The sequence below is a fragment of the Homo sapiens genome, chromosome 2, assembly GCF_000001405.40.
Source record: "Homo sapiens chromosome 2, GRCh38.p14 Primary Assembly".
Lineage (NCBI taxonomy): Eukaryota > Metazoa > Chordata > Mammalia > Primates > Hominidae > Homo > Homo sapiens.
In genome coordinates, this window is record NC_000002.12 from 100,455,558 (window position 1) to 100,469,438 (window position 13,881).

A 13,881-nucleotide genomic window follows, 5' to 3' on the forward strand; every position below is an offset into this window, starting at 1 on the left:
TTCAAGTTTACATGACTTAAGTAAAATCTTTAATAAGTAAGCTAGCTTTAAAATTATTGGTAAAGTAACATTAGAAATGTCTTAAGAATTGCCAGCATATATTTTTGTTTGCATTTATCAATCAAGTAATTTCATACTTATCCCTGCCAAATACTATAAGGTGTTAAAATTTGGCATAGGAGTTACAAAACTATAAACGCAGCCCAAGACAGAATGATCTTTGCTTGTGTAATCTTTAATAAATAAGACATTGACATTGGTTTAATGAAAATAGCTACATCTTGAATTATTTAGTAAAATTACCATAACTTCTAATCTTGTGGTTTTTGGCAGTCGAGTCCACAGGCAGTAAGGAGGTTTGTTTTGGGAAAGGACTGTTATCATCTTTGTTTCAAAGCTAAACTAAGTTTCTTCCAAAGTCCAAGAATGAACAAGGACAGCTTGGAAGTTAGAAGCAAAGTGGAGTAAGTTAGGTCATATCTTTTTCACTGTCTCAGTTAGAATTTTGCAATGGCGAGTTTCATAACTTTACATCATGACTATTACAATTTTCATAAACAATCTAGGTAAACCAATAAAATAAAATATGTGGGAAAATGTAATGGGATAAATACTTGTAGAGAAACTTGTCATAATTTAGACTCTAAAGTTATATTAAATTAAATAATATATATTTCATTATTAGGGTATTTTTCTATAAAAAAATTGTAGGAAAATATTCTTTCTAAAAAAAGTGTCCTTTTAAAAAAGGTGAACAATTTTTGTCTAGTTCAAAAGTTACATATAAAACTAGACTAAAAAACAGGAAATAAGAGAGATGTAAAGGAAGTTATAGAAATAAAGAGGTGTTTTTTGGAAATAAAGCTTAAAGAGAAATAATTTTATATAAGAAAGAAACTTGTATGGTAAATTTAGACCTAGAATAAAATGACTGGTTGTTTAAGAAAGAGGGATATTCAGGACAAACCAGAAAGTCCAAGCATGTCATGAATGGTCTGTGTAAGTCACAATATAAAAGGATTTATTAAAAAAAACTTTTATATGATCAAGTTGTCTATAATTAAAGGGAAATTATAATGGTCTTTCTAGAGATTGGGTTTAATGTAAAAAAAGCACTTATACACTAAAGAATTAATTAGAACAACCAAATTTCCTTAAGGGATTGATTTACTCTTAATAAATTATAAGAGATTTTAATTTTTTGTTTAACCCAAAGTTTAACTTCTATTGCATCTCACCATTTTCAGTTTTCTCTCCCCTTTTAAAAGGCATGAAATAACACTCTCCTTCAACTCATTTTCAGCTCATATAAGTTTTTCTCTCAAGTTCTTTTTGTTGTGATATGATGCTAATATTTTCTTAAAGATCTAAAGGAAATGTTCTCTTCCAACATAATATTCTATATACTGCAGAAGGTCTTTTCTTTTGCCTTTTGGTAACTGGCCTAGCAGATTTTATGTTTTATTGAAATAATTCCTATGCCATTATTATTATGTTTGGGTTTGCTTAGGAAAAAAAAACAAGATTAAAAAACTATTTTTTCAAATTAAGGTTATTACATCCGTGTATCTTTCTATATGTGCTTTTAAAGTACTTGTGACATTAAGTTACAGAGTTTTGACTCCTGGGTCTAAAAAGGACACCAAGTCCAAATCTTAAACACTGACAGCAGTTACAGCCTCATCTTCAGGCCCCACAGAAGATGCCAATCAAAATAAACTGCATTCCCCAGACACAGGGCCAGAAATTAAAGCCATTCAACTCCTCAAGGCCCAGGGACTATCATGGAAGAGGTGGGCATATGAGATTGTAAGGGATGATTTTAAGAGATAAAATAAGTTCCATTTCTTTATAAATTAACCATTGGTGTGAAAAGCACACTGATGCAAGACCAGGATGTAGGCCCCTGTGTCGGATTAACAAGGTTTTCTTGAAGCATTAACCAACTCATTAATGAAGGTTATATAGGTTATAAATGTTTATGGAAGTTATATCTTATGATCATGATTAAAATTTTATAGATTGTTGGTAAAATTTAAAAAAATTTAATTGGCTTCATGCTTTTTTTGTATACTTTAAGTTCTAGGGTATGTGTGCACAATGTGCAGGTCTGTTACATACGTATATATATGCCATGTTGGTGTGCTGCACCCATTAACTCATCATTTACATTAGGTATATCTCCTAATGCTATCCCTCCCCCTCACCTCACCCCATGACCGGCCCCAGTGTGTGATGTTTCCCACCCTGTGTCCAAGTGTTCTCATTGTTCGGTTCCCACCTATGAGTGAGAACGTGTGGTGTTTTGTTTTCTGTCCTTGTGATAGTTTGCTCAGAATGATGGTTTCCAGCTTCATCCGTGTCCCTACAAAGGACATGAACTCATCCTTTTTTAGGGCTGCATAGTATTCCATGGTGTATATGTGCCACATTTTCTTAATCCAGTCTATCATTGATGGACATTTGGGTTGGTTCCAAGTCTTTGCTATTGTGAATAGTTCCACAATAAACATATATGTGCATGTGTCTTTATGGCAGGACTTCATGCTGTTACTATTAGGCTTATTGTTTGGAAAATTAAGTGTCCTCTCTCAAAGAATAAATGTTTTCACCTTTTTTTGGAAATCTTTATCACTTTGGTTAAATGAATGACTTATTTTACAATGACCTATGATCAAGTGTTTTAAACCTTTGATATTTGACAAACTTTCCAAATCAAATTATAAACTATGTCTTTTTCTGGCCTAATTAATCCTTTAAGATATTAGGGTCCCTAAAGTCCAAAAATGACATATTTGGCTTATTTGGTATAAAAATTTTGCAGGAAGCATTGTCAAATATGAAACAGTGTTTGGTTTTCTTTGGACTGTATTTGTATAAATATGTTATTGGTATGTGTTCCAAAATTATGAGAAACTCCTATAATTCTGATATGACTTAATGTACATTATAAGTAATAATTATAATTATTATGTTAAATTATTGTGTGCCACAGAGGTAACAAATTTCCTTGTCAATTGTGTCTTTGACTACGGCTGTCCTGAAACTTTTTGTCATCCACAAACAATTGTCTTGTTTAGGTCCTCTTTAGAAGGTGGCTTCATAATCAACTATAAAACTCTAACAGGTGCTCTTGAATGCAGGTTTCTGGTAACTCTGGAGGTTGTAACATCAGAATAGAGGAAAAACTTTCAGGATTCACAGACAGCTGAAATGTTCATAAATACCAAGCAGAACAAGCATTAACTGCATGGACTAAACTAATAGAAGTCTGAAGTAATCTTTTTAAATTTTTGCATAAAACGTTGCTGATCCTTTGTTTTGTTTTTCAGAGTCAAGGGAACTTTTCTTTTGAGCTATTGACAGCTTTTAACAATTTAGTATACTCCTGTGAACAGAATTTGGAGCATACTTGTTTCTCTCTACCTGATTTCTCTAGAATTTGGAAACTATTTGTGAGTATTCTTAACTTATGGCAATAGAGTTATTTGCATAAGTGCAATAAAAATCTGTTTTCATTTGTAACAGTACACAATTGGAGAAACTGGTTATTTCACAAAGGCTTTGAGTGGAATGGTGTGCTTTCCTTTAAGGAATCAAACTTGACTTATGGAGCCAATAAAATCCCCTTTGGGAAAACTGGCCTCATGCCTTGTCTACACAGTATTTGTACAGGGTTTCTGATCTGTGGTAAGTAAAGAATGTCACTTTCTGACAGGCCCAGGAGCCCCAAGTTTATCTTGGGACCTCAAGAAGAGAGGAATTCACTCAACTCATAGGTATTTGATGGTAAAAATCCATGGCTGGGCTTGGCTTTACAAAAATCTCATCTGAGATTCCTTCTATGGAACAAAGTTCCATCAAAGCCAATTTAAAAGCCTATGTAAAAAATATATATATTCTGGCTGCAGTGTATACAAATAATCAGGCCAAGTATAATAAAGCAAATTAGTCCTACCATGACTTGTCTTTAGTAAATATGGGAAACTGAAGAGAAAAATTATATTTCAAAAACTATAGTACACCTGTTGTTAGATTCTAGTCTTGCCTAATGTTTTTCAATTTTTATTATTTTCTACAGTTTGGACTGAATTCTAATTTATTTTGGCTGCAAGTCTTCAAAATAATGTTTTCCATTTTTTTCCTTTTTTTCCCCTCATTTTTTCTAATTTGGAGTCACTGAAAACTAAGCTGTGCTTCTTTTAAGCCCTGTGAAATGAAGCCAGGCAACTTAAACTTCAGAAGAAAATAACAGCAACCTATTTACATACATAAGCCACTTTCATACCTGCCTACTGATATACAGGCTTCAGAGTAATATGGCCTATGTCAATTTTCCAGGATTGTTGTTTTGTTTGTTGTTGTTTTTCTCTCTTCTTCCCCCTATTTTCTCTTCATAGGACATGAGAATTCAAAACATGCTAAAAATGAGCTTTCCTAATAACTTGGGACCTACCTGTCTAGGAATAAACCATCCTAACCATGAGAGATCAGACAAAACCTGAGACCACAGACCCATTTTCTTCTAAAATGCTTTCTCCAAAAGATTTTTAAAAAGAAAAGGGGGGAAATGTGAAAGAAAATAAATCTTGGGGCCCCAAAATCACTAAGCTAAAGGGAAAAGTCAAGCTGGGAACTGCTTAGGGCCAGCCTACCTCCCATTCTATTCAAAGTCACCCCTCTGCTCACTGAGATAAATGTATATCTAATTGCCTGCTTTGGAGAAGCTAATCAGAAACTCAAAAGAACGCAACCATTCATCTCTTACCCACCTATGACCTTAAAGTCCCCTCCCCACCTCAAGTCTTCCTGCCTTTGCTTCGAGTTGTCCTGCCTTTCCATACCGAACCAATGTTCTTGCATATGTTGCTTGATGTCTCCTGTCTCCTTAGAATGTGTAAAGCCAAACTGTGCTCTGACCACCTTGGGCACATGTCATCAGGACCTCCTGAGCCTGTGTTATGGGCATTTGTCCTCAATCTTGGCAAAATAAACTTTCTAAATTAATTGATTCCTGTCTCAGATCTTTGGGGTTCACACAGTTATATCTCAACAAAATTGTAAAGAAATCATCCTGGATGGAGGCTAGAATTACAAAATGGTAAAAAGAAACATTACCCAGGGATTAGCAACCACAGAAAGCCTCATTCATGCCTAGGGTTTGAGGAACTTAAGGAAAAATGGTGTGTTTGCAAAGCCTGTGTTTACTTGGCCACTAAGACTGATGGGACCCCACTGGTGCTGCTGTTTTAATTATCATCTCTACTTCTCTTCAGGAAGCTAGGAGCACACACTCTCATTACCCTGCAGGACCTGGGGAGCCTGAAGTCATGCATAGGTGTTGTTTTTGCTGCTGGAGCTAGAACCCATGAATACTTCTTCCACTGGAAGCACAACCCCAGGCAGAAAAAAAAAGACTTCTTTCTTCCTTTTGTTTTCCAGCTTCTTTCCAGCCTTCTCTCCCATTGACAGAAACAAACTGCAAGCCAGCTAGGAAGGGAGTTTATTTTGCATGTTTACAGCTCTGTATGATGCGGTGAGGGGGAAGTAAGGAAAGATGTTTATGGAGTCAAAGTCCAATGGGCAATTAGCTGGCACAACTCTCTGATATATTACTTTTGACAAGGAAAATATAAAAGGGTATGTGGTTCTTGCTTTGAGGGATCTTTGTCAGAACACCCTGGTTCTTCCAGCATTACATAACTCTCTAATCCCCTGCCATTTCTAAATAGCCCAATGTAAAAGCAGATATAAAGCCCAGGAGAAAGTGCAGGACTCAGGCACAGAGGGTGGGAGGAAATGAGAGAGTGTATTCATGTGGGTGGGGACAGTATCAGCTAATGGGGGAAGCTGGCCTTTTCTGCCACCAAACAGCTTTGGGGGATTTGACAGACAGGCTCTAAATAGACTTTTCTACAAACCCTTGCTGTGTAGATAAATGCTGTTGGGGCTCAGAATATGCCACCCCAAAATATGACAGTAGTAGACCAGAATATGCCACCCCAAAGTGTGATGGTAGAGGACCAGAAAATGCCACCCCAAAATATGTCATTTTGGCATAAAGTTTATTTTCAGCTGATTATTTTTGGAAGCAGCAGACACAGGAGAAGCTCTAAAAACAGCGACATTATCCCTTTTAAGAAAAATGTACTTTTGTAAAGAAATCTCCAGTTGTAAGAGTGTCTCTTTGCAGCAGGATGAGAAGGATGACTCTAAATCACTAGAAATTCTTATCAATGGAGAAGGCACTGACTTAAATCTGCATAACAAACTTCACTTACCTTTATGGTGCTTTCCCTGGCCTTCCTTATTCCCTTCTTTCTTTGTTTCAGCTGAGGATGGTATTTGAGCCACTTCTTTGAGATGTGCTTTTTCCCTGGGTATCTCCCATCGACACAGGCAGAATCTATATTTCTTAGTCTACTTGTATTGCTCTAACAAAATACCTTAGACTAGGTAATTTATAAGGAACAAATGTATTCCTTAACAATTCTGGAGGCTGGGAAGTCCAAGATCAAGGTGCTGGCATTGTCTGGTGAGAATGGCTCTTTGCTTCCAAGATGGTGTCTTATTGCTGTATCCTCTAGAGGGGAAGAATGTGAGGTATTCACATTGTGAAAGGAATGGAAGGGCAAGAGAGTATGCCCTTCAACCTGGAGCCCTTTCATAGGGATACTAATCCTGCTCATGGAGGCTCTGCCCTTTTAGGAGATAATCACCTTCCAAAGACCATGTCTCTTAATACTGTTACCTTGGGGATTAAGTTTCAACATGAATTTTGGAGGGAACACCATTATTCAAACCATAGCACCATGGTTAAACTTTTGCTTGTTCTTCTCCTGTTAATCTATCTTTCTTTATAGGGGTCTATCCCAATTAAAATCTCAGAAAGTGTAGAGGAAGAATTATCTTTTTCCTCCCTTACAGTGCTCTCAAATATTCTCGTATCTACATCTTAATTTAGTTTAGACTTTTAAAAGAGTTCTTGAAGGACATTGGGTATCACTGAGTCACTCAGAGAGTTATGCTTTGAATACAGAAAGTTATAATCGATTTAGAAATTCCATTTTCTTGTATTTTATAAATAAAATTGAGTTCCTTGAAAGCCTGCTGAGTTTTATCATAATAACCATTCACAAAGCGGAAGCTAATTTAAAGTGAAAAGGAGGAGGCATTTTTAGTGTAGTTCTCTGACATTTTAGTGTAGTTCTCTGACATTTCCTTGTTTCAAATGGTCTGGGAACTCTACATGGTGAGTTCATTTATTCAAAAAAGTTATATCTTATTAAATTGGCTTGGCACTGACAAATCCACTCGTTACAGCCTTTTAAATAATGACTAAAAACTGAAACACTTTGGAAAAAATAAATGAAATAACATAAAGGAAGGAGTTGATCTTTTTTTCCCCTTCAACTTTTATTTTAAATTCCAGGGTACATGTGCAGATATTCAGGTTTGTTACATAGGTAAACATGCGCCATGGTGGTTTGCTGCACAGATCATCCCATCACCTAGGTATTAAGCCCAACATCCATGAACTATTCTTCCTAATGTTTTCCCTCACCCCACCCACCCCCCAACAGACCCCAGTGTGTGTTTTTCACCCCTATGTGTCCATGTGTTCTCATCATTCTGCTCCCACTTATAAGTGAGAATATGTGGTGTGTGGTTTCCTGTTCCTGCGTTAGCTTCCTGAGGATAATGGCTTCTAGCTCCATCCGTGTCCCTGCAAAGGATATGAAAGCAGTTGATCTTTTATATATGCAAGTTTAGATCTTTGAATATTTATCCATATGCTTATGAGTGTTTCAGACTATTAAATTTTTTAAATTTAGTTTTACTTATACAAGTAATTCATAAATAATCAATGCAAGAATTCAAAAATATAGAATGCAAGAATTTAAAAGCTTATTTTTTTTTTTTTGAGATGGAGTCTTGCTGTATTGCCCAGGCTGGAGTGCAGTGGTGCAATCTCGGCTCACTGCAAGCTCCGCCTCCTGGGTTCACACCATTCTCCTGCCTCAGCCTCCCAAGTAGCTGGGACTACAGGCGCCCACCACCATGCCCGGCTAATTTTTTGTATTTTTAGTAGAGACAGGGTTTCACTGTGTTAGCCAGGATGGTCTCAATCTCCTGACCTCGTGATCCGCCTGCCTTGGCCTCCCAAAGTGCTGGGATTACAGGCGTGAGCCACTGCACCCGGCCAAGAATTCAAAAGCCTTTAATGATTCCTCACAATCTCACTACATGAGAACCTCTGCTATTATTTTTGGGTGTGTGTAGCATCCCATTCTTTTACTTTGCATTTACCTACATCTGTACATACATAACTACATGTTCTATTTTTTTAAAACTTTTACATAAGTTGGTAGATTGCAAAATTGGCCATAACACTTTGTGGCTCATCTCATCATTGAGAGGTAAAATTTATTTTCCCACCCCTTGAATCTGGGCTAGCTTTGTGACTGGCTTTGTCGTTACAATGCAGAAGTGATGTAGTGCCCGTTGCAAACCTAGAGGCCGTTGCAAAGCTCAAGAGGCCTTGTAGCTTCTCCTCTCACTGTCTTAGAACTCTGAAATGAGCGTGAGATCAAGCCTGGGTTAACCACCCTGAGAATGAGAGATTACATGGAGAAAGGTCTCAGGCACCCTGTCTATTCACCAGGTGGTTGCAAATGTGTAAGTGAGTCCACCTGAGAATAGCTGCCCTGTAGAACCCAGCCCAAATTGCTGACCTTCAGAATTTTGAGCTAAATAAATGGTTGTTTAAACAACTAAGTTTTGCAGTGATTTGTTATGAGCAGAAGCTAACTGATACTGGAGCGCATGGCATGCAATTTCTTTTTTCTTTTCAGACTCCTCATTTATGGCTGTTCTACATGTGCTAGGAGCCTCTAAGTGCTCCTAGTATTTTCTTGTACCAAGAAAAAGAAGCAATGTGTAAGAATATAACAGAGGGGTCCCATATGAGTGCAGCACACACCAGGGCTTCAGGTAGCTTTTAGTCTCCTGCTGGAGAGAGGTGTGCCAATCGCTCTGATGTAAAGGAGAGAGTAGTCTGGAAATAGAGACACAAGGCTTCCCTGCTCAGAGATCACAGCAAAGGCAGAAAATGAGCCAGATAGTTCCACATGGCTGGGAGGCCTCACAATCATGGCAGAAGGCGAATGAGGAGCAAAGTCATGTCTTACATGGTGGCAGGCAAGAGACTATGACATGAAATTTTGTAACATTTTTTCTTTACTCATGTTATAAAGAATTTTCCCTGTGAATACATGTAGACCTATCTTATTCTTCTAAATAGTTACATAGGCCAGGCATGGTGGCTCACGCCTGTAATCCCAGCACTTTGGGAGACTGAGTCAGGCAGATCACAAGGTCAGGAGTTCAAACCAGCCTGGCCAACATGGTGAAACCCCGTCTCTACTAAAAATTAAAAAATTAGCTGGGCATGGTGGCACGTGCCTGTAATCCCAGCTACTCAGGAGGCTGAAACAGGATTGCTTGAACTCAGGAGGCAGAGGTTGCAGTGAGCTGAGATCACACCGCTGCACTCCAGCCTATGCAACAGAGTGACTCCAAATCGAGAATAAAAAAAAACTCAGTTACATAAATTTCCATATTATGGATCCCTTAGTTTATTTAATATTCGATTCCATTGTATGTATATATCAGCTTTTTTTCCCATTCACCCCTTAGTGGACAGTTACGTTGTTTCTTCATTTCTTCCTTTCCTTGTTCCTTTTTTGCCTTCCTTCCTTTCTTTCCCTCTCTTTTTGTATTATCAGTAAGTACCCCTATAGCTTTTGGAAACATTTATCCTATGGTGTTTTGTTCTTTGCTAATATTGATTATGGCATCTTTTTACACAGAATTTTAAAAAAATACTTTAAAATGTATCAATCTTTTCCTTATTGTCGTCCCTATTTTAAGTTTTGCCCTACAGCAATTTTCCTATAAAAAATTTTGCTCAATCTTTTTCTAATACAGGATTTTATATAAGTATCTGTGTGTCTGTGTATGTGTGCTTCATTTTCTTTTACGTGATGATCAGTCAGGTGTGACCTCAAGAGGAGACACAGGAGTGGCACAGGAAAAAACAAAGTGTACTAATTCACAGGTCCTGGAGACAGGAGGACCATGTGGGAAAGGCACCAGGGTGGTCAGGAGGTGGAAGACAGGAGCAAAGAGAAGGTCTAGTCCACCCCCTTTACGGGGTTTTATGGGGAAGGGCAAGGCAGGGCAGGGTGAACAGTTTAGGACTGGCTAATGTGAATAATTGTGGAAGGTTTGGGGCTGTGGGAATGGTTCCTAGTTGCCTGGAAGCTGATCCTGGGATGTTTAAGGCAGAGGGATTTTGCCTCCTAGGGCTCAGGGGCCAGATAGAGGATTTATGGCCCTGCACTGCTTAGTTTATCATCACAGGCGTGCTCCAGGCTGAGCCCTTGCTATCTCTAAGCATGGCTAGCCCTGGGAGGAACAGTCTCTCTCCAGCCACAAAGATTTTTTTCTAAGATCTCAAAACAGCATAATGTACACAGAATTTTAAAATATTTATAATACTCTGTGTGTGTGTGTGTGTGTGTGTGTGTGTGTGAATCAGGTTTAGTTTATTGTTCTTCTGGAATTTATTTTAATTTACAGTAGTCCCCCCACCCTTTTTTTTTTTTTTTTTGGAGATGGAGTCTCACTCTGTTGCCCAGGCTGGGGTGCAGTGGCGCAATCCTGGCTCACTTCAACCTCCGCACCTCCACCTCCTGGGTTCAAGCGATTCTCCTGCATCAGCCTCCCGAGTAGCTGGGATCACAGGCACATGCCACCACGCCCAGCTAATTTTGTATATTTAGTAGAGACGGGGTTTCACCATGTTAGCCAGGCTGATCTCGAACTCCCGACTTCAGGTGATCCACCCGCCTTGGTCTCCCAAAGTGCTGGGATTACAGGTGTGAGCCACCGCACTCAGCCTACAGTAGTCCCCTCTTATCTATGTTTTCACTTTCCACAGTTTCAGTTCCACTAGTCAACTGTGGTCTGAAAATATTACATACGGCAAATTCCAGAAATAAGCAATTCATAGGTTTTTCAATTGTGTGCCCGTCTGAGTAGCGTGATGAAGTCTCTGGGTCCTGCCCCGCTCTTCTTGAATCCTCCCTCTGTCCAGTATCTCTGCGCTGTCTACGTGCCCATTAGTGACTCTGCAGCAGCCCTGGTTAACAGATTGATGGTTGCGGCATTGCAGTGCTTGTGTTCAAGCCACCCTTATTTGACTTCATAATGGCCCCAAAGCACAAGAGTAATGATGCTGGCCATTGAAATATCCGAAAGAGGGGCCACAAAGTGCTTCCTTTAGGTGAAAAGGTGAAAGCTATTGGCATAATAAGGAAAGAAAAAAAATCATATGCAGAGGTGGCTAAGATCTACAGTAAGAACAATTTTCTAGCTGTGAAATTGTGAAGAAGGAACAAGAAATTCATGCATACCGTCTACAGGGTTTGGTACTATCTTCAGCTTCAGGCATCCACTGGGGTTCTTGGAATGTATCCCATTTGGATAAGGGGAGACTACTGTATAGTGTGGAATAGTGTATTTAATTTTCGCCAAATAGCCAATGATCCTGGACACCATTCAATGAGTAATTCACCATTTTTCACTGATTTGAAATGTGCCTTTATTCTATATTAATCTAATCTGCTTCAACTCTCTCTATCCCATTCTGTGGATTGGTTTGCCTGTTACTAGATCAGTAACAAAATGTTGACCACAATACCACAGTTGCTACCACTTTATGGTACATTTTGGCATTGGTAAAGTGTCAAGTTTTTTCCAAAAAATTGGTCAAATGTATATTTTCTCTCCCAAACTACTTTCAGAATAAGTCTTAAAATTTCATGAAAGGTCATTTTGAATTTAATTAGGATTACACTGATTTTGTAAATGAATTTTGTCATCAATTGAATGTTTAACAACATTGAATCTTGCTGGTGAGGATAATGATATGTTTATTCACACATTCTTTAATGTCCTTCAGTACAGTTTTGTGGTTTTCTTTTTAAATGTATTGCACATTTATTCTCTAGTTTTGCCCTCAGTATTTCATAGTTTTTTAAGCTATTTACATTTTGACACATTTTAAAATTTATTTTTGCTCTTATCCTAAGAAAATTAGTACTGAAAATAGTGTCCCCTAAATGTGGTCAATTTGGTAAACTTTTATTAATTCTAATCATCCGCCAGTTGATTTCATTGAATTTTTAGTAGATATTCTGGGTAGATAATTGTATAATTTGAAATCAAGTAGAGTTTCCAATTTTTAATTTTCATTATTTTAGTTTATTTTTGTATTGAATTGGCTAAAAATGCTTACATGTTTGTATTGGTCTGCTTGGGCTGCCATAACAAAACCCATAGACTGGGTAGTTTAAACAACAGAAATGTATTTTCTCAGAGCTCTGGAGGATGCAAGTCCAAAATCGAGGTGCCAGCAAGGTGGTTCCTGGTGAGGTTCTCTACTTCACTTGCAGGCAATCTCACACAACATTTTTTCGGTGCATGCATGCAGAGTGAAAAAGCATCTCTTCCTTTTCTCATAATGACACCAGCACTGTTGGATTAGGGGCCCATCCTAATGTCCTCATTTAGCCTTAATTGCCTCCTTAAAAGCCCTGTTTCCAAATACAGTCACATTGGGGTCTAGGGCTTCAACCTATGAATTGTGGGGAAAACACAAATTAGTTCGTAACCATGTTGTTGAATAGTAACAGCACGGACTTTTAAAATCTTTTTCCATTTCTAAGTTAGTATTTAAAATAATATTTTTATGTTTTTCTCCTGAATATCTGAAAAAATAGTGTAGGCAAAATATGCAGAAGAAACATAGGGTTGATATAAATCAGAGCTATCACAGAGGTTTACTTGATGCTTATGCATAAACACCAGTTCACTGGTAGACAGAGCGGATGTTGGAAAAGTACTTGTTGGTTGACACTTATTAAAAATACCACAACCATTTGCTATTATATGTGTGTCGTGTATCTACAATGACCATAAGTAACTGTTTTTAATACCATGTAGATAAATGGTTTCAGTTGAAAAATCATTTATTCATGTTTTTTCCTTTCATTCAGTAAAGACTTGCTGTTAGGCAGTGGGTGGATTTTAATGTAAATGGCATAATCCCTGCCTGGTATTTAAAGACCTTGGGTTAGTCTCCTAGAACCAAAGTGGTAAATACTGTAATAAATAGAAATCTCTATTTCTTACTGGCTCAAAGAAGTAGGCAAAATATTATGGCTATAAAGTAGTGTATAATTATTGCTCTGTTATGAATTGAAAATGTTTTGGCAAAATGCCACATTTTAAGTAAAAAATAAACAGCTCCTTCTGAGCAACTCCCACTTAAAATTATTCTTTAAAAGCTCATTCATTAAAACAATTATATATTATGACTTAGGTAAAGTATTAACATGTTTGAGCCATGTGTAAACATCCAGCAGTTATTAGTAACCACCTAATCTCTAAAAGAGCAAAAATTAAAGACATGCGGCCAGGCGCAGTGGCTCACGCCTGTAATCCCAGCACTTTGGGAGGCTGAGGTGGGCAGATCACGAGGTCAGGAGTTTGAGACCAGCCTGACCAGCATGGTGAAAACTGGTCTCTACTAAAAATACAAAAATTAGCTGGGCGTGGTGGTGGGCGCCTGTAATCCCCGCTACTCAGGAGGCTGAGGCAGGAGAATCGCTTGAACTCAGGAGGCAGAGGTTGCAGTGAGCCAAGATCGCGCCACTGCAATCTAGTCTGAGTGACAGAGTGAGACTCTGTCTCAAAAAGAAAAAAAAAATAAAGATATGCATAATGAAAAAAACAAAAGATATTTGTTTCACG